At 37.7% G+C, this 27,410-nt stretch overlaps 1 protein-coding gene across 15 annotated transcripts in view; it reads left to right on the plus strand.

Moving 5' to 3' along the window:
* Window positions 1-27,004, plus strand: part of ATF7IP2 (activating transcription factor 7 interacting protein 2) — a 97,578-nt gene extending 70,574 nt beyond the window's left edge. For 8 of the 15 annotated variants that reach the window (NM_001393719.1, NM_001352120.2, NM_024997.5 and 5 more), the window contains 6 exons: window positions 738-895; window positions 15,476-15,549; window positions 16,845-16,900; window positions 17,289-17,355; window positions 24,245-24,330; window positions 25,202-27,004. In NM_001393719.1, coding sequence (NP_001380648.1) covers window positions 738-895; window positions 15,476-15,549; window positions 16,845-16,900; window positions 17,289-17,355; window positions 24,245-24,330; window positions 25,202-25,615 — 855 coding nt within the window. In that variant the 3' untranslated portion in view covers window positions 25,616-27,004. Of the gene's footprint in view, window positions 1-737; window positions 896-15,475; window positions 15,550-16,844; window positions 16,901-17,288; window positions 17,356-24,244; window positions 24,331-25,201 lie in introns of those variants that run through there. The other 7 variants (NR_147927.2, NR_045815.3, NM_001256160.3 and 4 more) reach the window with 5 other exon arrangements.
* Window positions 27,005-27,410: the final 406 nt, after the last annotated feature.

The raw sequence follows: 27,410 nt of genomic DNA on the forward strand, positions 1-27,410 counted from the left end.
GGTGGGAAATTCAGGAAAAGTTGGCCTATGGTCACTACCACTGCAATGGATTGGGCCTGCCATTGCCCCAGATGTCAGATGAGCACCCAACTGATAGTGCTGCTGTGGTGAATTGGGCCCCCTAATCCTACCAGTATGGAATTGGGGGGTTAGCCACCACTGCTACAGGTTTGGGGCAACAGATGGGTGCCCAGCTTCCATGGCACCTAGTGCATTTTTGTTCATGCTGTCCTTGATCCTTTTGAATTAATGTACATATATATTTACATATATATAAAATGCTGCAAGTTCTCAACCAAAGCTGAGAACACTGAATGTTTCAGCTTCAAGTTTTAAATAAACTCAACAATTGGAAGAGCAAGTTAGCAATCTGAGTTATTTCTAGTCTTTATTAAAAGTATAACAAAAGTAAAATTTTCTTAAATATAGTGTTTATTAGTTCCTAAAAGTTAGTCTAATAGGAATAAAGTGTTGTCTAAGTACCTGAACATTTGTTTTTCCTTCTTTCCATCCAAGCTAGGAAGTTGATGTATACCATCATTTTTATTTCTTCGGAGTTTTTAAAAATTCATTTTGGCAGGCAAATCACAATCATGGTCATCAGCCATCGAAATACATGTGATTTAACTTATGTTTTGCCATATGTATGCAAGAATACTTTGAAAATGCTAATTTTGTTTGGAAGGATACAATTGGTAAAATTCCCTTCAACTGCTTTTTTCTCACCTATTTAATAGGTTGCAAATTCAGAGGCTATGATTTTGGATAAGAATCTTGAGTCAGTTAATAGTCCAATTGAAAAGTCTTCTGTGAATTATGAGCCTTCTAACCCTTCCGAAAAAGGAAGTAAAAAAATTAATTTGTCATCAGATCAAAATAAGTCTGTTTCTGAAAGGTAGGTGTTTCTGCAAAAATGCATAAATTTATCTAAATCTATAATAATGAATTTTTTCTTCATCACAGTTTTGGATCTTTGTAATATTGATTATTCTTAACATTCACTCTTAAAATGTCCTATAGTTTTACTTTTACATATTATACTTCAGTTGTGGGGGTTTTTTTTTGGTTTTTGGGTTTTCTGGTGTTTTTTGAGATAGGGTCTCACTTTGTTGTCCAGGCTGGAGTATAGTGGTACAGTCACGGCTCACTGCAGCCTCGACCTCCTTCCTGGGCTCAAGTGATCTTCCACCTCAGCCTCCCAAGTAACTGGGACTACAGGTGTGCAATCACCATGCTGGGCTAATTTTTTATATTTTTTGTAGAGGCAGGGCTTCACCATGTTGCCCAGGCTGGTCTGGAATTCCTGGGCTCAGGCAATCTGTCTGCCTCGGCCTCCCAGAGTGCTGGGATTACAGGCATGAGCCACTGCGCCTGGCCCTATACTTGAGTTTTTAAAAAGAGGAAAACATACAATCAAAAATAAGTAGATTAAATGATGGCCATTGTTTGAAGAACACCCTTTCCCACAGATAACTATGCGTACACAAGGAGGCTCTAAAGCAAAGGAGAAGCATTACAGATCTAAACCATTTATGTTTGTTTTGGGGGATTTCACATGCAGTTGTGACCCTTCAGGAGATGCCCTAATATTCTGTAATATTGGGCCCACATTTTAGTTTTAAGCCAGGAAGCTGCTGTGAAGGAGGCATTTAGTTGATGAAGGCAAGAGCTACATTTCAGTGACACTTTGTAGTGTGACCCCTTATTGATGCATGTGCTAAAACTCATGAAGTAACAAAAAATAAAAAGTGCTAGTGATGGAAGTGAAAAAGACACCATTAAAATAGCACTTCATAGAAAAATATATCCAATTTAGCCATGGTTTGTGTCTTTTATATGAACAAATCTATCTCATGTTCTATTCTGAAGGAAGAACCCTGCGATTTATAAAACTGTTTAAGGCAGCACTCTCAGCCCATGGTGAATGTGCGGATAGGTGTAACAAATGTGTAACTTGATTCTGATGGCTTTAATGGTGAGTTTTATAAAATATTTAAGCAAGAAATAACACCAGCTTGAAGCAAACTCTTCCAAAGAATAGAAAAAAAGGGAATGTTCTTCAGCTCATTTTATGAGACTAGCATAACCCTAATAGTATTATAAAATCAATTTTTAAATTTTACAGAAATGGAAAATTACAGCCTGCTTTAAACCACAAAATAGATGCAGCCGTCCTAAACAAGATAACTAGTAAACCAAGTTTAATAGTCTACAAAAGTTGAGTTTGACTCAGGGAACCTTCGTTTAACAATTAAACATCAATTAATGTGGCTGGGCGCGGTGGCTCACGCCTGTAATCCCAGCAGTTTGGGAGGCTGAGGCAGGTGGATCACTTGAGGTCAGGAGTTTGAGACCAGCCTGACCAACATGGTAAAACTCCATCTCTACTAAAAAATAATAATAATAATACAAAAATTGGCCAGGCACGGTGGCTCATGCCTGTAATCCCAGCTCTTTGGGAGGCCGAGGCGGGCAGATCACCTGAGGTCGGGAGTTCGAGACTAGCCTGACCAACATGGAGAAACCCTGTCTCTGCTAAAAATACAAAATTAGGCCCGGTGCGGTGGCTCACGCCTTCCATCCCAGCACTTTCGGAGGCCTAGGTGGGTGGATCACGAGGTCAGGAGATGAAGACCATCCTGGCTAACATGGTGAAACGCCGTCTCTACTAAAAATATAAAAAATTAGCCGGGCATGGTGGCGGGTGCCTGTACTCCCAGCTACTCAGGAGGCTGAGGCAGGAGAATGGCTTGAACCTGGGAGGCGGAGCTTGCAGTGAGCCGGTATCACACCACTGTGCTCCAGCCTGGGCGACAGAGCGAGACTCCATCTCAAAAAGAAAAAAAAAAAAAAAAATACAAAATTAGCTGGGCATGGTGGTGCATGCCTGTAATTCCAGCTACTCGGGAGGCTGACACAGGAGAATTGCTTGAACCCGGGAGGCAGAGGCTGCAGTGAGCTGAGATCACGCCACTGTACTCCAGCCTGGGTGACAGAGCAAGACTCTATCTCAAAAAATAAAATAAATACACTAATGTGATTTGCCTGGAGAAAAACCATTATCAACTCACAACTCACTATAGATGCAGGACTTGATAAAATACCCATTTATGATTAAAATAAATTCGTGGCAAACTCAGAATAGAGGTAACTTCTTTAATCTGACAAAAATTATCTACAGAATCCCTAAGACAAATCTGATGGTAAAACATTGGAGGTGTTCCTTGGAGATACAAAAGAAAGATGCCTGCTGTCACCATTTTATATAACATACTGGATGCCTTAGCTAATGCAAGAATGCCAAAAAATCGGGGGAAAAGGAAAAATACAAAGTATAGTAAAGAAGGAACAATATTATTACTATTTTGGGGTGATTGGGGGGTGTGTGTATGAAATCTAGTGAAACCTAGAGATTAATTATTAAAATTAATAAGAGTAAAACAAGATTGCTGAATTCAAATATCTAAGAAATCTTTCGTATTCCTGTTTAGAATACAAGATAGAAACAATCAGGAAATAAAATTTTGGAAAAGCTGTAACACCATTATAGAAGCCCCAAAACATATCAAGTACCTAGGAATACATTTAATAAGAGAAACAATAGCTGAAGAAAATGTAAAACGTTAGATATTAAAGAAAAATCAATTAAAAAGATATATGGTGTGGACAAAGGAGTATTATATTTATAGAGTACAACTTCAGTCAGTATCTCAGTGTGTAATTTTATAGAACTTTATGACGTGATTCTAAAATGCAATGGGTTCAGAGGTCAAGATACTCTTTAATTAGTGAAACAAAATGGAAGGAATTTGCCATCAGACGTTAGGATATTACAAAGCTACAGTAATAGCATAGCATGAGATTGGCATGCGCTGGACAAATAGACCAGTGTAACAGTAGAGAGTCCGGAAACCCATGTATGTATGTATATGTGATATGTGATGGAGATTGCGTGGCAGTCAGTCATTTGGGAAATGATTGACTTTTAGTAAATGGTACCATCTTGTTTGCTGTTTATGTTGGGGGAAATATGAAATTGGACTCCTTTGTAAAGCTATACAAAAAAACTCATATGGATTAAGGAACTAAAAATATCTAAAGGAAATTATAAAGCTTTTAGAATATATAATGTCTTCATGAACTTGGATAGGGAATGTTTTCTTAAGACATAAATGCCGTTGCCATAAAAGAAAAATTGATTAATTTTACCACATTGAAATTAGAAACTTCGTTTCTCAAAAGGCACTATAAAGATAGTGAGAAGACAGGCCATCCGAGTTGGAGAAGATAATCGCAGCACATATAACCTGTAGAGGACTAGTAACGCAGAATATATATAAAGAACTTCAACAAGTCAATGAGTAAAAGCCAAATAATACAAAAGAAAAATGGGCAAAAGACTTGTGCATCCACTTCACAAAAGAGGAGTTCGAAATGGCCAATATACATATGAAAAGGTGTTTATCTTCATTAGTAATCAGGGAAATGCAAATTAAAACCACAATGAGATATCATTTCATATCAGGTAAGGAAAAAATACATTTAAAAATCTGACTACTGGGTATTGGTGAAGTTTTGAAATAAAGGGAGTAGTATTTAATGTTTTGTTGCGTGAGTAAATTGGTATAGTACTCTAAAGAAAATTGGCATTATCTGGAAATATCAAAGATATGAATATCCTTTGACCTAGCAGTCCCAGCTCTTGATATATCCTAGTTAGAGGTATATCTATTGCATGTTGATATGCCATAGAATATATGTTTAGGAATGTTTATTAGCAGCATTTTTTATAATGGCCAAAAACTGAAAGGAAAAAGTGTCCATCTACAGTTGAAAAAGAAATTACCCTAAATCTATACGGTGGAATGTTGCAAATGAATGAAAATGAAGGAACTGCAGTCACATGCAACAGTATGGATTATTCCCACAACGTATGATTGGAAAGCAGACACAAAAGACTCATATGATTCCATTTAAATGAAGTTCAAAAATAGCCATAAAACAAAGTGCATGATTCAGGGATTCTAAGCTGGATAGTAAATCTAAAGAGTAAAACAAGGAGATTAGTACCACATATGCCATTTATGGTGAGGAAGTTTATGATATAGGATAGAAGCATATGGATTTCTGAAGTGCTGATAATTTAAAATTTACTTACCTGAATATGGCTGCATGGGCACTGGCATTGTATTTATTTAATGGAAAATATATTTTAATATAATCTGAAAATAATTATCTTTTAATCAGAAAAATGATTTATGCTTAGTGTAATCTGACTGATGTGTGTGGATTTATAATTACAATCTTACTACCTGTTTTCTGTTTGCCCTGTTTTATGGTCCTTTTCCTCATATGTATCTGTCTCTCTGTTATAGCCATCTTTTGAATTAATCTTTTTTCCATTCCCCATTACTTTGTTAATTTTACCGTTTTCATTATTCCTTTAGAAGTTATTCTAAGATAATGATATGTATTCTTTACTCGGAATAGTACTTCTGCTATTTTATAGACAATGCTTGATCTTAGAATACTTTAGCTTTGTTTACTGTTTTCCCCATCTTATGTGTTTTTGTGCGTTTCGATTTTACATTAAGTCCTAGAGGATGACTACTATGTACCATCATTTTTTATTTCGAGTTACCCACATATTTATGTTTTCTCTTGCTCATTTCTTCCTGTAGTTTCATCTTTCCATCTGGGCTCATTTTTTTTTCCACAAGAAGATCTCCATTTATTATTTCTTTTGCTTTTAGTTTTGCTTAGGAAAAATGCCATCAGTTTTTATCCGGAAATGACTTCATTTTGTCTTAATTTTGAAGGGTATTTTAACTTGGGTATAGAATTAGAGGTTGGCAGTTATTTTTCTTTCAGCACTTTCATTTTCATCACATTGCTTTCTGACTTCTATTTCTGTTGAAATGTTTTAACATTTGTTTTATTTTTGCTTTTTCAAAGATAAGTCTCTAGCTGCTTTTAAGATCCTCTACTTTGGTTTTCATCAATATACTATAAGATGTTAGGTGGTGGGGTGGTGGTAGTATACTTAGCCTTTTAAATTTATACTGATGGGGGCTTGTGGCCCTTCTTGAATCTATGGCTTGATACCTTTCATTATCTTGGGAAAATTCTTGACATTATTGCTTCAGATATTGCTTCTGGAGCATTCTATGTCTTCTGTCTTACTGGTTTCTAATTATGTGCTTTTCTATATACTCCATCTGTTTTGCTCTAGATACTTTTGTCTGGATATTTTCAACTAACCTGTGTTGTGTTCCAGCTTATTAATCCTTTCTTTTATTGGATCCAAGTAGCTATTAAACCCATGTATTCTTAATTTCAATTTGTATATTTTTCAGTTCTTGGTTATTTTTTACAAATTCATGTTCTTTGGTGAAATTCTTTACCTTGCCATCCAAGCGTTGTACATTTTAGTCACTAAGATTTTCAGATCTATTTCTGATGACTCTCCTATCTGGGTCACTTTGAACTCTATTTGTGTTTGCTGTTTTACATCTTTGTCCTATTTGTTAGGACAGTTGCTAATTTTGTGTTTGATTACTGGATATTGTATATTGGAAACTGTAAAGGCTCTAAATGATGTCTTCCACCAGACTAGATTCACTCTGTACTCTGGAAAGCAGCAGAGAGACACAGCACCTGTGATGGATTTTAAATATGTCCACAAATTTTCGATACCCCTCCTTTAAAATGTGAAGCCTAATTTCCATCTTGGACTATACTTAGTGACTCACTTCTAATGAATAGAATATGGCACAAGTGACATTATTTTTGTAGGTCATAAAAGACATTAGCTTCCTTGCTTTCCCTTAGATGACTTGCTCTGGAGCAAGTTAACTGTCATGTCATAAGAACATCAAGCAATCTATGCAGAGCTCTACATGGTGAGGCATCCTGCTAATAGCTATGTGAACAAGCCGTTTTAGGCTCTGACCCCCAGCCCTGGTCAGACCTTTGGTGACTACAGCACCTGCCAACATCCTGACTGCAACCTCATGAGAAAACGTGAGGTAGAACTCCTGAACTACACGACTTCCTACTTATTTACCCACAGGAACTGAGATAATGAATGTTTGGATTTTTAGGCCATTATGTTTTGGGGTAAATTATTACATGGCAATAGAGATACAATACAATATTTCAATCTATTCAGAACTTGAGCAGAACTGAGGCTGATCTACAGATTTTATAAGACAGTGATTTCTTATTTTCCCCCATTCTTGTGTTACAGCCCTCTTGCCTGGGATATGGATTGTGGCACCCCTCCTATTGCTGGTCTTATATTCCAGTTCTTGGCTCCTCAATACCAGCCCTCTGTGATTTCAGTCAGTTTTTGCTTGCTTTCATAGCATCCTGTGTGGCTGGGTTGACAAATGCCTTGAGAGAAGAACACTGGCCAAGCGTCCAGCTCACTTCTCTTGGATCTTGGTCTCTCTAGTTATTGGTCTCTCAAGTTATGGCTGCCACCACAGCTTTCTAATGTCTTCAAATAGATATTTAGATATTTTTTTCCCCAATTTTTCAAATTGCTCAAGTGTGGGGCTCCATCATGGCTGTTCTACCTGTCCTTCATGTACTTTTGTATACATTATCTATTTTTAAATGTTTAAAAACATTTAAGAAATAAAGGAACCCTTACAAAGGAAAAAAGAAATATATTGTTCCCTGTTGTTATCCTGGCTCTAGAGAAAACCAGGAGATTTTATAATTGTTTTTTCTCATGCCACAGGTATTGAAGGAATTAGTGCCACTGTTGTCCGTGTCTATAGTATGGCTAGATTTAGAAGTTTAAGCATTTCTGTTTTTAAAATCAGGAGGAAATGGGAAAGGCAATAACAACTGAGCTGCAGAAGCTCATAGAAGAGAAAGTTTATGGCCCAAAACACATGACAAAAATTAAACTTGCTTAAGTTGGAAGGAAATGCCTTTATGTGCAATTACTTCCAAAGAGTAAGCATCAGGGTCTAAGGCACCCAAGAGTAGACCATTTCACCAATACTGATTGAATAAAATATTAATCCTGCCTAAAAAAATCTTGCATTGAATTTCGTGTGATAAGGAAATGTTTACAGAGATGGAAAGGGGGACAGGAAGGAGTTACTAGCCACAGTATCTTAAGAAAGTTACTACTATTTTGCATGTGTTGCTCCCTACTCATTCTTTTGTTGCTGCTGTTGTTGATGTTGTTGTTTGGAAGACGGAGTTTCGCTCTTGTTATCCAGGCTGGAGTGCAACGGCACGATCTCAGCTCACTGCAACCTTTCCCCTCCTGGGTTTAGGTGATTCTTCCGCCTCAGCCTCCTGAATAGCTGGGATTACAGGCATGTGTTGCCACGCCCAGCTAATTTTGTGTTTTTAGTAGAGAAGGGGTTTCGCCATGTTAGTCAGGCTGCTCTCAAACTCGTCACCTCAGGTGATCCACCTGCCTCAGCCTCCCAAAGTGGTGGAATTACAGGCGTGAGCCACCACGCCTGTCCATCCTACTCATTATTAAAATTTATTTAATCCTAATAATAAATGTATCCCTCTTTTACAGATGAGGAAACCAAAGCAGAGTTTCTTGCCCCAAAACACTCAAGTAGTAAATGGCAGAGGCTGGATTTGGATCTAAACATTCTGTCTCCAGAAACTATGCTCTTACCTACTACATAATAACAATGCCTAGAGAAATGAATTACTAATTTTAGACATAGAAATGTTTCTCCAAGGTAAACTACAAGTAGATAACATATGTTAGTCACACTCAGGCTTCCATAAAAATTATCAGTTTCCTCAGTTTCCCTCCCAGATGTGGTTCATTAAAAAAGAGCTGGGCCGGGCACAGTGACTCACGCCTGTAATCCCAGCACTTTGGGAGGCCGAGGCTCCTGAGGTCAGGAATTTGACACCAGCCTGGGCAACACGGTGAAACCCCATCTCTACTAAAAACACAGAAAATTAGCTGGGCGTAGTGGTGTGCACCTGTAGTCCCAGCTACTCAGGAGGCTGAGGCAGGAGAATTGCTTGAACCTGGGAGGTGGAGGTTGGCGTCATCCGAGATTGCACCACTGCACTCCAGCCTGGGCAACAGAACGAGACTCCGGCCCAAAAACAAAAAAGAGCTTTCATTGGTAGCAGTTAGTTGAATAGTTTCATGAAAGTTTCATATCATTACATTAAAATCTAGTGGAATTCCCGTTAGACCATAAGTTTGCCATTTTACAAATGGATTTCTCAAGATAAGCATTAACAGCTTTATATACAGACATAATTTTTAAAATATAGTTGACATGTAATATCTACTAAAAGCTACATGAACAGTATGTTAGCCTGATGAATTTTCACAGAGTGACAGATGACCCAGATTAAGAAACACCAATGGCATCCAGCCTGCCTCATGCCTGTTCTCCTAGTCATCAGTCTTCTAACACCATAAATTGTTTTTGCTTTATTTTTGCCTTTATAGAAATGGAATCATACTCAGTGAGCTCTTTTATGTCTTCTTTCATCCCACATTATGTGTCATGATACCCATCCGTGCTGTTGCTATTCAGCAGTTTATTCATTGCTATATAATATCATATGAATATGCCACAATTATATCTATCATATGAATGTGCTACAATTAATCTGTTTAGTTCAGTTCATTGCCATTTTGATTGTTTGCAGATTGGGGAAAATATAAATGGTGCTGCTGTGAACATTCTTTTACATGTCTTTTGGTGAATGTACATATATACACTTCTGTTGGACATATGCCTAGAAGTGGAATTGCTAGGTCATAAGGTATGCGTATCTTGAGGTCTGATACCACCAACCAGTTTACCAAAGAAGTTGTACCAAGTTATACTCCCACTATAAGTACATGAGATTTTTATTACTGCGTATCCTTGCCAACTCTTGGTGGTATCTCTTTCTTTTTAGCCATACTGGTGTATAGCATCACATTGTGGTTTTAATTTGTATTTCCTTCTAATAATGAAAATTAAGCAAATTTGCATGTTAGCCATTTGGATATCTTCTTTTATGAAGATTTTTGCTTTGTCTTTTCAATTTTTTTGACAGATACATTTATTATAAATATCTTTCCTGACCCAAAGTCATGTTGTTTCCCTAATGGTGTCTTTATATGAACTGACTGTACTTAATTTCAGTGTAGTTTTTTTCATAGACTATATGCTTTTCTGATGAATGCTCTATCTTTTTTAACTGTTTGCTCCTACTTCCATATTTTTAAAATTATTAATCATGGTTGTTTTAATGCTCTTGTTTTAACTCAAGTGTTTGGATCACCTGTGCATCTGTTTCTATTGTTTTTCTGTCAGTCTCTGGTTTTTTTTTTGGCATGCTTGATAGTTTCTGAAAAATTGTTGAGGCTGTAAGTGATATCTTGCCATAAGACAAGGCTAATCCTCTGCTTGCCAAATAGAGTAGGATCTGATTACCTAATCTTCTAAGGGAATGATATCACAAGGCTTGTAGTAATCTTGGTAAGGCTCCTTCTACCTCTAGTTCACTCTGGTCTCTAAGACATAGCCTACCATGGTTACCATCTGAAAGCTTAGACTGTTTGCCAGGGCTCCTTCACCTTGGTGGGTCCCAAATATTATTATTTACCTCATAAATACAATGAGACTGCCAAAAATTACCTCCTTTTTAAAGATTTTCTGCTCAGTTTCTTATACTCTCAAATAGCAATAATTTGAAGTACTGTAGCTTCAACCAAAGAAAAATTAAGTGAAGGATTTTGAAATTGATAAAGTATTTTGACTATCGTATAATGAACATCTGAGAAGAATTACTTAAAATTTTCTTACAGATTAGCAATGAAAAATACAGCTATCAGTCTTTCATCCAATTTATGACTACTATTACTAGAAGACAAAAATATATATAAAAGAAATTTAACAATTTAGAGGGTAAAAGTGGATAGAAAAATCAATTTTTTTTTTTTTTTGAGATGGATTTTCTCTGTCACCCAGGCTGGAGTGCAGTGGTGTATCTTGGCTCACTGCAACCTGTGCCTCACAGTTCAAGCGATTCTCCTGCCTCAGCCTCCTGAGTAGAGCTCCCACCACACCTGGTAATGTTTTGTATTTTTAGCAGAGATGGGGTTTCACCATGTTATCCAGGCTGGTCTCAAACTCCTGACCTCAGGTGATCCACCCGCCTCGGCCCCACAAAGTGCTGGGATTACAGGTGTGAGCCATGGCGCCCAGCCAAAAATCAGCCAAAAATCAAATATTCTTTTTTTTTTTTTTTTTTGAGACAGAGTTTTGCTCTTGTTGTCCAGGCTAGAGTGCAATGTCATGATCTTGGCTTACCACAACCTCTGCCTTCCGAGTTTAAGCGTTTCTCCTGCCTCAGCCTCCCGAGTAGCTGGGATTAAAGGCACGTGCCACCATGCCCGACTAATTTTGTATTTTTTAGTAGAGACGGGGTTTCTCCATGTTGGTCAGGCTGGTCTCGAACTCCCGACCTCAGGTGATCCTCCCACCTCCACCTCCCAAAGTGCTGGGATTACAGGCATGAGCCACCGTGCCTGGCCCAAATCAAATATTCTTAATAAAATTTAGATTTAAATATTTGTTTTTGTTTCTTAGAAATAATGGCAAATGTTAGAGTCCCATTGAGAAATGTGATATTTAAAAAATTGTTGAATTTGTGTTTTTTTAAATCTGCATGGAAAACTGTTGAGCATAAACTGAAAAATGAACATGATTTTTGCCTCTCCCCATGCAGTCAACAGCTACAGGAACTGACATTTTGCTATAAACAAGGCAAATCAGGCTGAAAAATTATTTTCAGATATTGTTCTACCAGGAGTTTAGGATCATGATTGGGAAAACAAATGACATGAACTCTACCATTGTCCCAGCTTCCTGCCTGGAGGCATTTTCCAGGTCAAGAGCAGGGATGGAGGAGGGATTCCAAACAGAGCCTTGTGGTCTTGCTGAGTTTAGGTCAGAGATTGGAGAATCTGAGTTGACCAGAATTTATGAAGTGGAACAGTGAAGAGAAAAAAATTCAGATAGAGCTCTGAAGATCTGCAAAGGGGCCTTGAAATATTGGCTGAATACAGATCTGTATGCAAAGGATGAAACTACGAGAGACTGGGGAAAGAACTATTGGAAAGAAGGCCAAGTGATTGATTCCTAGAAGTCATACATCTTGTTTTCCCCCTGGCTAGAAGAAAGATTGGTAACATTTTGCTTTCCCCTTGGCTAAAATGAAGAAAATTTATAATCAGAAGTAACAGGTAGGGTCCACAGATGGTTATTGCTTTAGTGGGGCTCAATTAGTCCCAGAGACTGCAAAGAATCTATACACAGAAAAGCCAAAAGCAAGCTTCAAAGGAATCAGGCTAATCCTAAGTAATTTAATTGCATGCCAGAACAAAGTCTAACACTCTTCTGAAGAAATGAAACAACATCCATTACCCAACAGCATAAATTTTACAATATCTGACATCTAATAAGAAATTCCCAGGCATGCAACATAGCAAAAAATATGACCTATCAACAAGGAGAAGAATGAAGTGATCTACCTAGAAATAATTTGGACTTAGCAGACGACCTAAAAGAGCTATTGCCAATATATCAGTGAAAGAGGTATAGAAAATGTTCAGTCTAAAGCATGGAGAGGAAAAAGACTGAAAAAACAATGAACAGAGCATCAGAGACCTATGGAACAGTATCAGGCAGTCTAATACACATTATTGGAGTATCACTAAGGCAGGAGCTGAGCAAATGTTTGAAGATACAGTGTCTGAAAATTTTCCATAGTTGATGCAAATTCTAAATCCATAAATGAAAAAATGTTAAATTCAAGCAGAAGAAACATGAAAGCATACAAAACCACATCATCAGATTGCTGAAAGTCAGTGAGGAAGGGAAAATTTTAAAAAGTAGCCACACAAAAGACACATCACATAGAAAGGAACAGAAAGTCTGACCAACATGGAGAAAACCCCGTCTCTACTAAAAATATAAAATTAGCCCAGCATTGTGGCGCATGCCTGTAATCCCAGCTACTCGGGAGGCTGAGGCAGGAGAATCACTTTGAACCAAGGAGGCAGAGGTTGCGGTGAGCCGAGATCATGCCACTGCACTCCAGCCTGGGAAACGAGCAAAACACCGTCTCAAAAAACAAAAAAGGAACAAAAAGTAAGAATGGCACCATACTTCTTGCTGTAAGCTGTGCAAACTAGAAGACATCTCTAAAATTGAGATCATAGATACTTCTAAAGTATTGAAAGTTTAAAAAAAAAAAAAAGTCCATTCAGAATTCTATATGCAGTGAAAATATGTTTCCAAAGTGTAGGGGAAAAACAGACTTTTTAAGCCAAAAAAAAGGGAGAGAATACATCAACAGACCTACATTACAAGAAATTTTGGAGGAGATTTTTCAGGCAAAAGGAAAATAGTATTAAATAGAAATTTGGATCTGTACAAAGTAATATAGACTGACAGACATTGTAAATATGTTGGCAAATAGAAAATATTTTTGTTTCTTTATAGTGTATACACACAACACACTCTATATAGAAACACTACATCCTATATATATGTAGAATATATAGTTTAGAAATTATATATATACACACACACAAGCAAGAAACAATTGGAATTTGAAATTTAAAATGGATGCCATTTACAATGACTTCAGAGAACATAATATATTTAGGGATAAACCAAAACCACCTAACCTAAAACTACAAAGTATTACTGAAGAAATTAAAGGAGACCTAAATAAGTGGTGAGATATGTAACTTTCATGAATTCATTAAGATGTTACTTCACCCCAAATTGTATATCTATCAATGCCTCAGCCGTTTTTGTAGTAAGTAACAAACTGATTAAAAACTTAAGGCCAGGCATGATGGCTTACACTTATAATCCCAGCATCTTGGGAGGCCAGGGCAGGAGGATCACTTGAGGTCAGGAGTTCAAGACCAGCCTGGCCAACATAAAAAAACATTTTTAAAAAAATTTTTTTAAAAAGTTAGCCAGGCCTGGTGACACATGCTGTCATCCCAGCTACTTAGGAGGCCGAGATGAGAGGATCTTTTGAGCCCAGAGGTTCAGGCTTCAGCAAGATACATTTGCACCACTACACTCCAGCCTGGGAGACAGAGCACGAGTCTGTCTCTTAAAAATATATATATATGTATATATATATATGTGTGTGTGTATATATATATATATGTGTGTGTATATATATGTGTGTGTGTGTGTGTGTGAATATATATATGAAAATGCAGAGACCCAGAAGATGAAAACAATGTTGGGAAAGAAAGTTAGAAGACTACACTATCTTTGTTCAAGACTTAACTATAAAGGTGTAGTATTAAGACAGTGGTGTTGGCATAGGGATAGGTATGTTGACCAGTGGACACACTAGAGACTGCACATGTAGTTCATTGGTTTACAACAAAGGTACCGATGTAGTTTAACAGGAAAAGATGTTCTTTTCAAAAATGTTGCTGGAATAGAGGGAAAAGTGAACCTCAGCTCTTACTTCATACCATAAACAAAAATTAACTCAAAATGGATCATACACCTAAGTACAAACAGTAAAAACAGAAGATGTCTGCAAGAAAATGGTATAATTGGACTGGGCGCAGTGGCTCACACCTGTAATCCCAGCACTTTGGGAGGCCAAGGTGGGCGGATCACCTGAGGTCAGGAGTTCAAGACCAGCCTGACCAACATGGTGAAACCCTGTCTCTACTAAAAATAGAAAAATTAGCCGGGCATGGTGGCATATGCTTGTAATCCCAGCTACTGAAGAGGCTGAGGCAGGAGAATCGCTTGAACCTGGGAGACAGAGGTTTCGGTGAGCCAAGATTGCGCCACTGCACTTCAGCCTGGGGGACAAGAGCAAAACTCCATCTCAAAAAACAAAAAAGTCGCTCATAAAAAAAAAGGGTCAAAATGGCTTGAAATATTCTATAACCGTAATCAGCATCATTTATCATCATTGTCTCAAATTTGTGGTAAATATTGCTACTGGAGAGATAAAATGAAGAGTAGTAGCAGTTCTTTTTAAAATAATTTTCTTTGTTATAGTTTTCTACCTTTAGGAGTCCAGGTGTCTTTATGGGTCTTAATAGATTTCCTTCATTACATGATGTTTCATTTTTATAGAAGTAAGTATATACGCTCAAAGGAATTTGTATGTTTTATACATTTATGTCCATTGTATACTTATATATATTTTGAGTCATTGTGAAAGACCCATAAAATGTAGTAGGGATCTAATTATTGGATTTTGATGAATCTTTAGTCATATAACGGAACTGGTAATAAATGGAGTTTTTTTGGGTATTTGGTTTTATCATTTCTATTTCCCCCCACGATTGTTCAATTAAAACATTATGAAATGTTAAGTTAGAGGACTCCTAACCACTAATTGCATGTTTAAGCCTGATAATGCATGTTTAGTTTTTGTTTTTAATTTCTTTTTATCATTTTAGTAACAATGATGATGTTATGTTGATTTCTGTGGAAAGTCCTAATTTGACAACTCCAATTACATCAAATCCAACAGGTATCTTATAGCTGATTAGAATATGATCTATCAAGTTAGAAGGCCTTAAATCAATGTTTGCTTTAAAGTGAAAAATTGAATAATATCTTTTAATAAAATGAAAAAGTTAAATGTACTCTCAAATGTTCTAATTTATATCATGGTTAATATTACCTAAATAAATGATTCCTTAATGTAATTGAGATTTCATTTTAACCTTGTGTTTTATCAGTTTAGGGCCTTTTGTTTCTTTTATGTGTTTAATGACTTTATAACTTGTAAAAACTACTTATTTTTAATGGTTTGCCCTGGCCTTTTTTTGATGGTAGTGACGGTTTGTTTTTTGTCTTCTTATTTTTTATCTATTAAGTTATCTTATAGTCTACTTAAGATTTAAAATTTGTCTAGTCAGTCTGGGTGTGGTGGCTCACACCTGTAATCCAAGCACTTTGGGAGGCTGAGGCAGGCAGATCACCTGAGGTCAGGAGTTCAAGACCAGCCTGGCCAACAAAATGAAACCCCATCTGTATTAAAAATACAAAAATTAGCCAGGCATGGTGGCAGGTGCCTGTAATCCCAGCTACTCTGGAGGGTGAGGCAGGAGAATTGCTTGAACCTTGGAGGCAGAGACTGCAGTGAGCTGAGATCGTGCTACTGCACTCCAGCCTGGGCAAAACAGCAAGACTCCGTCTCAAAAAAAAAAAAAAAAAAATTTTAACCTTACATTTCCAATGATAACTTTTCTCTCTCTCAAAAATACCCATCTTGTTTGGCTCATAATTTCTTATTCAAAATTCCCCATTTTCATTTCATTTTCTACTATGTTAAAGTATTTGCATCTTAATTTTAAAGCTTTGCCTCCACTTAATAGCTACTTAATTGTCCCCACAATTTGGGCTAAGATTGTGAATCAGAGAATTACAAAGGATGTTAATCATTTATCTTAGGCTTCCTACTGGTTCCAGGAAGAGTGCTTCTCAGCCATGTCAGGCAGTTGTAGTCTAAAAATACTGTGAATTAAAAGTGTGTGCATTTCCAGGTGTATTTTCTCATGGAAATTTCTAGGTAGATTTTCAAAAAAAGAGTTACTAATATAGTTGCAAAGTTACAGAAAGACAAAATGGTTTGACCCAAAATTACATTTTTTTAAAAAAATTTCATTCAGTCTTTGGAATAGGTAAAGTCAATTGAGTTACTTTTTATCACTGTATAATTAACAGCTAATTAGCATCCCTATTATTTTGTTTTAGCATTCATATTTCACAAAGCCCATAAATATTGTGTAATAAATTTGTCAAATGTCTAATTTCTTTCAGATACCAGAAAAATTACATCAGGAAATTCTAGCAATTCTCCCAATGCTGAAGTTATGGTGAGTAATAAATATTGACTCTGAATATTGTTTATTTAAATATGTTAGTTCAAGGAACTTTAGTGTTTGCTACATGTTGGATGATTTAGTTTTAGTCCACGTTACACACTGAAAAGCAGACAGCTAATGATAAGCATAATTCATAACGATACTCATTTACCAAATTCATTTACATTCTCCTTAGTCATATTCTCAGAAACCATTTAGTATTTTATAAGAGCTTTTTAATAGTAGAGTTAAACCACAAGAGACTTAGAGAATGTTCCATCTCTAGTTTCCGAATGGTGATTTAAAATTACCATTTAAAATTACCAAATGGTTTTAAATTTTTAAAAACATTTTCAGCTATTGAGGCAAAGCTTTTTTTTTTTTTTTACAATTTTTTTAGGCTGTACAGAAGAAACTTGATTCTATAATTGATTTGACAAAAGAAGGCCTATCCAACTGCAATACAGGTAAAAGGATTTTTTAGATCTTTCTTTTGTAAAAAGGAGGGAAGGGTAACAACTCATAATGCACTGGGTCTACTTATGAAGTTTGTTTTAATATGTGAGTGTGCCTATGTTTATATCTCTGTGCAGTTTTAGCTCATGTGCAGATTCATGTAACTGCCGTCACAGTGACAAAGCTCCTTCATGCTACCCCTTTATACTCACACCTTGTTTCTGCCCCAATCCCTGGCAGCCACCAATCTGTTCTGTACTATAATTGTTATTTCACAAATTTACATAAATTTGATAATGCAGTATGTGTCCTTCGGAGATTGACTTCTTCCGAGGGTCATCCACATTCTTGTGTAACAGTAGTGTGTTCCTCTTTATTGCCAAGAGTAGCCCGTGGTGTGGATGCATCATAATTTCTTTATTCATAAACCCATTGAAAGACATCTGGCTTGTTGGGGACTTTTACACATTTATTTTCTTCCTGTGGTACATACTTTTTTCCCTAACCACAACAATAGCAGCTAAGAGGACGCACAGAGAAACAGAAACTGGGGTATAACATGAAAATGTAGACAGAGAGTGACAACAGTGTCTGTCGTCTTTCACAGATTTAAGGAAAAAGAAGTGAAATACAGTCGTGGGGCTGGGGATCAGTTATAAGGTCTCATTGGAATTTAATGAAAAGTATAAACCCACATACCCAAGGTGTTTAAAAAACTCCAGGATAAACACAAAAGAATTCATACCAAGACATAACATAGTCAAGTTCCTGAAATCCAGTGATAAGGAGAAAAATGAAGATACAATGCAGGTGAAAGAACAAAGAATTCACAGGTTTCTAGGCTAGAACAATGCAAGCCAAAAGACAATTGAATGACTTCATTAAAAGGTTGGGGGAAAATAACTGTCAACCTGTAATTCTTTATCTAGAAAATATGGCTTTCAAAAAAGAAAGCAACTTTGGGAGGTCAGGGCAGGAGGATGGCTTGAGGCCAGCAGTTTGAGACCAGCCTAGGCAACATAGGGAAACCCCATCTCTACAAAAATAAGAATAAATAAAGCAAAATTAAAATTTTTCAGATCAACAAAATTTGTTGCCAGCAGACCTTTGCTATCAGAAATAAAGGAAATTCTTCAAATGATAGTAAAAGATACCAGATGGAAAGTAGATCTACACAAAGAATAAAACTATATTGTAGAATGTATATAGAAGTCAGTAGATGAAAACAGTAGTGCAAAAGATAGTCACAGGATTGGAAGTATGCTGTTACAAGGCTCTTAAATGGAGTGGTGTCACGTTATTTGAAGCTAGACTGTGATAAGTTAAAGATATATATGGTAATGCCTAGAGCAACAGTTTTTTCTTTTAAATAGAAGTAAAGCTAAGAAACCAATAGTGGAGATAAAAAGGAATTTTTAAAATATCCAAACTGGCTGGGCGCGGTGGCTCACGCCTGTAATCCCAGCACTTTGGGAGGCCGAGACGGGCAGATCATGAGGTCAGGAGATCAAGACTATCCTGGCTAACATGGTGAAACCCCATCTCTACTAAAAATACAAAAAAAATTAGCCGGGTGTGGTGGCGGGCACCTGTAGTCCCAGCTACTCGGGAGGCTGAGGCAGGAGAATGGCGCGAACCCGGGAAGTGGAGCTTGCAGTGAGCCGAGATCGCGCCACTGCACTCCAGCCTGGGCAACAGAGCGAAACTCCGTCTCAAAAAAAAAAAACCCAATCTAAGAAGCCAGAAAAAAAAAAAAAAAAAAAAAACAGAGAAAGAACAAACAAGACTAATAGAGAACAAAAGGCAAAATGATCAATTTAAACCTGACCACACTGATAATAAATGTAAATGGTCCAAACACTCCATTGAAAAGCATTGTTTGACTGGAGAACAATACAAGTCTCAACTATGATTACAAGAGATGTACTTTAAAAAGGAAATAAACATTACTTGGGTTGGAATGAAAGTCCTGTTTTGTCTCTTATTATCATAAAGTTCAGCTTCTGTTGTAGTCTGTTTTAATTTGCCAAGGGCCAGTTGACTTACTGCCTTGAAAGAAGGAATATTATTTACAAGAAATTATATTTGCTAGGATATTTTAAATATTCAGCTGTTGGCTAAAAATGTAAAGGTTGTTTGTATTAGTTCTTAACCTGTAGATTATAATTGTACAAATCTGTCTCTTAAAGCTAGTACAAAATAGCTGAACAGACTCTCTAAAATAATAAACTCCTTACTTCTAGGAAGGTTTTTGTAAAAATACCAGTAAATAAGGTGACTAACTGTGAAACACAATACAGAATCTTGTTCATCTTTGTGAAAAGAAAAATATAAGTAAAAGAAATTTCATTTGGAGGATTCATAAAATATATTAGTTACATCACAGGATATAAAGGATCTAAAATGGTTTTTACTGCTTAATTCTGGGATTTTTAGCTACCCAACTTTCATACTTTCCAATATAAACCCCCTTTTCTTAACCATCCCTGTATTTACTCTCCCCAGTTGTGTGTGTGTGTGTTTTTTTTTAAACTTTATGTTCTGGGGTACATGTGCAGGATGTGCAGGTTTGTTACATAGGTAAATGTGTGCCATGGTGGTTTGCTGCACCTATCAACCCATCACCTAAGTATTAAGCCTGGCATGCATTAACTATTTTTCCTGATGTTCTCTCCACCCCCTGCCCCTCCCCCAACAGGCCTAGTGTGTGTTGTTCCCCTCCCTATGTCCATGTGTTCTCATTGTTTAGCTCCCACTTTTAAGTGAGAACATGTGGTATTTAGTTTTCTGTTCCTGCGTTACTTTGCTGAGGATAATGGCTTCTAGCTCCATCCATGTCCCTGCAAAGAACAGGATCTCATTCCTTTTTATGGCTGCATAGTATTCCATGTGTATATGTACCACATTTTCTTTAGTCTATCATTGATGGGCTTTTGGGTTGATTCCATGTCTTTGCTGTTGTGATTAGTGCTGCAGTTAACATATACATGCATGTATTTTTCTAATAGAATGATTAATATTCCTTTGGGTAAATACCCAGTAATGAGACTGCTAGGCCAAATGACAATTTTATGATGAAATCGCCAAAACCAATTGCAACAAAAGCAAAAATCTACAAATGGGATCTAATTAAAGAGCCTGTATACAGCAGAAGAAACTATCATCAGCGAACAGACAACCTACAGAATGGGAGAAAATTTTTGCAATCTGTCTAACTGACAAAGGTCTAACACCCAGAATCTACAAGGAACTTAAGCAAATTTACAAGAAAAAGCAACCCCATTAAAAAGTGGGCAAAAGATTACATTTATTGATTTGCGTATATTGAACCAGCCTTGCATCCCAGGGATGAAGCCCACTTGATCATGGTGGATAAGCTTTTTGATGTGCCAAAAACCACATGATTATCTCAATAGATGCAGAAAAGGCCTTTGACAAAATTCAACAACCCTTCATGCTAAAAACTCTCAATAAATTAGGTATTGATGGGACGTATCTCAAAATAATAAGAGCTATCTATGACAAACCCACAGCCAATATCATACTGAATGGGCAAAAACTGGAAGCAGTCCCTTTGAAAACTGGAAGCATTCCCTTTGAATACTGGCACAAGACAGGGATGCCCTCTCTCACCGCTCCTATTCAACATAGTGTTGGAAGTTCTGGCCAGGGCAATTAGGCAGGAGAAGGAAATAAAGGGTATTCAATTAGGAAAAGAGGAAGTCAAATTGTCCCTGTTTGCAGACGACATGATTGTATATCTAGAAAACCCCATTGTCTCAGCCCAAAATCTCCTTAAGCTGATTGATAGGCAACTTCAGCAAAGTCTCAGGATACAAAATCAATGTACAAAAATCACAAGCATACTTATACACCAATAACAGACAAACAGAGAGCCAAATCATGAGTGAACTCCCATTCGCAATTGCTTCAAAGAGAATAAAATACCTAGGAATCCAACTTACAAGGGATGTGAAGGACCTCTTCAAGGAGAACTACAAACCACTGCTCAATGAAATAAAAGAGGATACAAACAAATGGAAGAACATTCCATGCTCATGGGTAGGAAGAATCAATATCATGAAAATGGACATACTGCCCAAGGTAATTTATAGATTCAATGCCATCCCCATCAAGCTACCAATGACTTTCTTCACAGAATTGGAAAAAACTACTTTAAAGTTCATATGGAACCAAAAAAGAGCCCGCATCGCCAAGTCAATCCTAAGCCAAAAGAACAAAGCTGGAGGCATCACACTACCTGACTTCAAACTATACTACAAGGCTACAGTAACCAAAACAGCATGGTACTGGTACCAAAACAGAGATATAGATCAATGGAACAGAACAGAGCCCTCAGAAATAACGCCACATATCTACAACTATCTGATCTTTGACAAACTTGAGAAACACAAGCAATGGGGAAAGGATTCCCTATTTAATAAATGGTGCTGGGAAAACTGGCTAGCCATATGTGGAAAGCTGAAACTGGATCCCTTCCTTACACCTTATACAAAAATTTATTCAAGATGGATTAAAGACTTAAACGTTAGACCTAAAACCATAAAAACCCTAGAAGAAAACCTAGGCATGACCATTCAGGACATAGGCATGGGCAAGGACTTCATGTCTAAAACACCAAAAGCAATGGCAACAAAAGCCAAAATTGACAAATGGGATCTACTTAAACTAAAGAGCTCCTGCACAGCAAAAGAAACTACCATCAGAGTGAACAGGCAACCTACAAAATGGGAGAAAATTTTCGCAATCTACTCATCTGACAAAGGGCTAATATTCAGAATCTACAATGAACTCAAACAAATTCACAAGAAAAAAACAACCCCATCAAAAAGTAGGCGAAGGACATGAACAGACACTTCTCAAAGGAAGACATTTATGCAGCCAAAAAACACATGAAAAAATGCTCACCATCACTGGCCATCAGAGGAATGCAAATCAAAACCACAATGAGATACCATCTCACACCAGTTAGAATGGCAATCATTAAAAAGTCAGGAAACAACAGGTGCTGGAGAGGATGTGGAGAAATAGGAACACTTTTACACTGTTGGTGGGACTGTAAACTAGTTCAACCCTTGTGGAAGTCAGTGTGGCAATTCCTCAGGGATCTAGAACTAGAAATACCATTTGACCCAGCCATCCCATTACTGGGTATATACCCAAAGGACTATAAATCATGCTGCTATAAAGACACATGCACACGTATGTTTATTGCGGCACTATTCACAATAGCAAAGACTTGGAACCAACCCAAATGTCCAACAATGATAGACTGGATTAAGAAAATGTGGCACATATACACCATGGAATACTATGCAGCCATAAAAAATGATGAGTTCATGTCCGTTGTAGGGACATGGATGAAATTGGAAATCATCATACTCAGTAAACTATCGCAAGAACAAAAAACCAAACACCACATATTCTCACTCATAGGTGGGAATTGAACAATGAGAACACATGGACACAGGAAGGGGAACATCACACACTGGGGCCTGTTGTAGGGTAGGGGGAGTGGGGAGGGATAGCATTAGGAGATATACCTAATGCTAAATGACGAGTTAATGGGTGCAGCACACCAGCATGGCACATGTATACATATGTAACTAACCTGCACATTGTGCACATGTACCCTAAAACTTAAAGTATAATAATAATTAAAAAAAAAAAGTGGGCAAAGGACATGAGCAGACATTTCTCAAAAGAAGACGTACATTTGGCCAACAAACATGAAAAAAAGCTCAACATCACTGATCATCAGAGGAATGCAAATCAAAACCACAATGAGATACCATCTCATGCCTGTCAGAATGGCGATTATTAAAGTCAGAAAACAACAGATGCTGGCGAGGATGTGGAGAAATAGGAATGCGTTTACACTGTTGGTAGGAATGTAAATTAGTTCCACCATTGTAGAAAACAGTCTGGTGATTTCTCAGTGATTTAGAACTGGAAATACTTTTTTTTTTTTTTTTTTTTTTTTTTTTTTTTTTTTTTTTTTTGAGACAGTCTTGTTCTGCCCTCTGTCACCCAGGCTAGAATGCAGTGGCTTGATCTTGGCTCACTTCAACCTCCACCTCCCGGGTTTAAGCAATTCTCTGTCTCAGCCTCCCGAGTAGCTGGGACTACAGGCACGCGCCACCACACCCAGCTAATTTTGTATTTTTAGTAGAGACAGCATTCTACCATGTTGCCCAGGCTGATCTGGAACTCCTGACCTCAAGTCATCTGCGTCCTAAAGTGCTGGGATGACAGATGTGAGCCACTATGCACAGCCTCCCCAGTTGTTTTCAATCCATTCTTTTGCCTACTTGTACCTTCTTTCCCTCCCACCCATCCACATTTTTCGTGTTCCCTTCCTTTCTTCTTCTCACCATCTATTTTCCTTTCTGTTTCTCCTCCTTCCCCTCTTCTTTTCCCCACTCCACATTTTATGCCTAATTCCTTCCAGAGGAGCACAGACCTCATTAGTTGAGATTTCTTTAACCCCAACCCACATGATTTTTAGTTTGAATTCCTAAAACTTGGCTATAGATTATAAATGGCTCTGTGTTTGTAGACATCTTTGTTGGCCTAACGAGAAAATTTGCCTCTAAGATCATTTATCAGAGATCTCTGTCCCATGTGTAAACCTATCTAGTTGCCAGTTACACAATGTCTAAAGTGTTTACCTTAAGGGGAATTTTTGTCACCTTAAAAATTTTCTATATTTGGTACCTCTGTATCTTGAACTTTAATTAAAAGTGTATCTTCATAATTCACAGTTTTATAATTTTAATTCACATTTAATTACCACCAAAGATGTAAACTATAGCTTAAAGGCTATGGAATTGATTATTGCAGATAAGATTTACTTCTTAAACCTTGTGTTGTTCACAGAAAGTCCAGTATCCCCCCTGGAGTCACATTCGAAAGCTGCTTCAAACTCAAAGGAAACAACCCCATTGGCACAAAATGCAGTCCAGGTACTGAATCAAAGTGCTCTGTAAGGGATATTTATTCCAAATTGAGTGGGAAGTAGCTATGTTACTCTTGAAGAAACATTTGGGTCACATTTCAGCTTAGACAACAATTTAGTGTGCTGTTGTTAATCTACTTATTTATACAATTAAAATTATTCAGTTGAGTTTTACAGAAGCTACAGAAATTAAAACAAATACTTTTTTTATTGAACAAATTGGAAAAGAAGCAATAGCCATTGTTGATGAGGATGGGAGGAAAAGGGTGTTCTCATATACTGTCACTTTTTGAGACCGAATCTTGCCCTGTTGCCCAGGCTATAGTGCGGTGGCATGATCTCGGCTCACTGCAACCTCCACCTCCTGGGTTCAAGTGAGTCCCCTGCCTCAGCCTCCCGAGTAGCTGGGATTTCCCGAGTAGCTGGGATTTCCCGAGTAGCTGGGATTTCCCGAGTAGCTGGGATTACAGGCACGCACCACCACGCACAGCTAATTTTTGTATTTTTAGTAGAGACAGGATTTTGCCATGTTGGCCAGGCTGGTCTCAAACTCCTGACCTCAGGTGAGGCAATGCACCCAGCCATGCTGACACTTTTCATGTAAATTAGTATAGTGTTTGAGAGCGCAATTTGGAAATGAGATGGAATATTTATCCCACATGTCTGGAACCTAACCCATTCTGGATTATTGATATTCCAGGATATAGAAATCTTAAATCCAAAAGAGGATTCTGCTTAAAGGACTGGATCCAGCCTCACATATTACTGAAATATCCTTTTATTATTTTGATAAATGGATTGAAGAATGAGAAATATATATTTCTACAACTGCAATTGACCACTTTAAAAGCTATATTTTCTTACAATTGTGTTTTTAGGTTCCTGAGTCCTTTGAGCACCTGCCACCTCTCCCAGAACCACCAGCACCACTACCTGAATTAGTAGACAAAACCCGAGACACACTTCCTCCCCAGAAGCCTGAGCTCAAAGTGAAACGGGTTTTCAGACCCAATGGCATTGCCCTGACTTGGAATATAACCAAAATCAATCCCAAGTGTGCTCCTGTAGAAAGCTACCACCTCTTCCTGTGTCATGAGAACTCTAATAATAAGTTGATTTGGAAGAAGATTGGAGAAATTAAAGCTTTACCACTCCCCATGGCCTGTACTTTATCTCAGTTTTTAGCTTCCAACAGATACTATTTTACTGTCCAATCAAAAGATATTTTTGGACGATATGGACCATTCTGTGATATAAAATCTATCCCTGGGTTTTCTGAAAATCTTACGTAAAAGGTGTTTAATAATGATATACTACTTTTTTTTTCATATTTGTTTGTTTGCAATGTTACTGTAATACTATTTGCCATTGTAAAAGGCCAGCTCAGATTGTGAGCCCTTTCTATTGGGACAGTCCTCTTCTATATGTTTTAAGTGGCCAGTAATTTAATGAATTTCTGGTTTGTATTAAATATGTCCTTCCAATGGATAAGTTCTAAAACATACGCTATCATTGGCCCATGTTGCTGAGGTGCATTGTGAACAATACCTTTAGTGACTGTGGAACTGCTGCTTCTATCAGAAGACCTAGGATACAAGCAGCCACTGTTTCCTCCGTTAACAATCAGCTTTTAGTAACCTGCTGTGGTCAGCATAGCTACAGGAAAAGTCAGCCCTTGACTGAGGGCCAGATCATCCCTGGAGTGCACCTCTACTAAGATTTTATGAAAAGATGACATGTTGGGCTGCATGATAAAAGTTAATTATAAAAATTAAAAGATTTTTTTTTTTGAGATGGAATATTGCTCTGTTGCCCAGGCTGGAGTACAGTGGTCACTGCAACCTCCATCTCCCTGGTTCAAGCAATTCTCCTATGTCAGCCTCCCAAGTAGCTGGGACTATAGTCACTTGCCACCATGCCCGGCTAATTTATTTTTAGTAGAGATGAGGTTTCACCTTGTTGGTCAGGCTGGTCTCAAACTCCTGACCTCAGGGGATCCACCCGCCTCGGCCTCCCGAAGTGCTGGGATTATAGGCGTAAGCCACCATGCCTGGCCAAAAATTAAAAGATTTTATGAAACGAAATGGCTTCCCATTCTTTCTATTCAGCTTCTAAGTGGGCTATTCATTTGTGCTCTCCTCTTTTTTGTTTTGTTTTGCACTTTGTCAATCATTTGGGGAAATAGCCTGGAGGTCTTTCCTGAATCTGTTTGTAGACATAATAAAATTTGTGTGCTGTGTACACAAAAACATAATGTATCTTATGAAAGCATTACCCAACCTGTTTGAGTTGAGAATGCATTTGTCCACCTTTGATTTGAGGCTTTAGTTTGCTGATTTCCTAAATGCTACCCTTTGATCATTTCCTGGCCACCATCACAATACTAAGGGGCTCAGATGTGTCTTGTGCCCACCTCTTCCTGAGAAGAGATGGAAGTGGAGCTGTGACTAGTACAAGCAGCCCAAGAAACTCTGAACGGGGCCCAATGGAGGCAAACTTGAGCAAATAATTGGGATGATAAGAAACAAAAATAATCCCAACTGTTTGAAAGTTCGAAAGAGGGGCATTCTTTTCTGGTACATGGTGAGAGTTCAGGCTCCAGAGACTCAAAACGGAATGGTTTTCCTTGGCATTTTGTAAATGCTCTCACATCTGTAGCAATAAAGCTGTTATTTTCTGCAGTGTTCTATGTCTTTATTTTTAAGAAAATTACTGATTCATGAGAGGAACTGCCCAGTGAGTTCCATTTCCTACTCAGAGCCAGGAACTCACCCTGGGATTGCCATGGACTAGACATTCACTCACTGTGAAGCCCAAAGACGCGGCCTATAAACAAGATTTTGGTACCCATTACCAAGTGAACCTGCATCTGCAACCAGTGGGCCATCTGGAACGATGATCGATGCTCAAGTCTCTAGCAAATGAGCCTTTATGATCACAGGAAGAGAGAGAGAGGCTGACAGCAAACCTCTTAAGAGGTGGTACCTCAGAAAGCATTACTGTAGCTGGCGCGGTGGCTCACGCCTGTAATCCCAGCACTTTGGAAGGCCGAGGCAGGTGGATCACGAGGTCAGGAGATTGAGACCA

The sequence above is a fragment of the Homo sapiens genome, chromosome 16, assembly GCF_000001405.40.
Source record: "Homo sapiens chromosome 16, GRCh38.p14 Primary Assembly".
In the NCBI taxonomy this organism is placed as follows: Eukaryota; Metazoa; Chordata; class Mammalia; order Primates; family Hominidae; genus Homo; species Homo sapiens.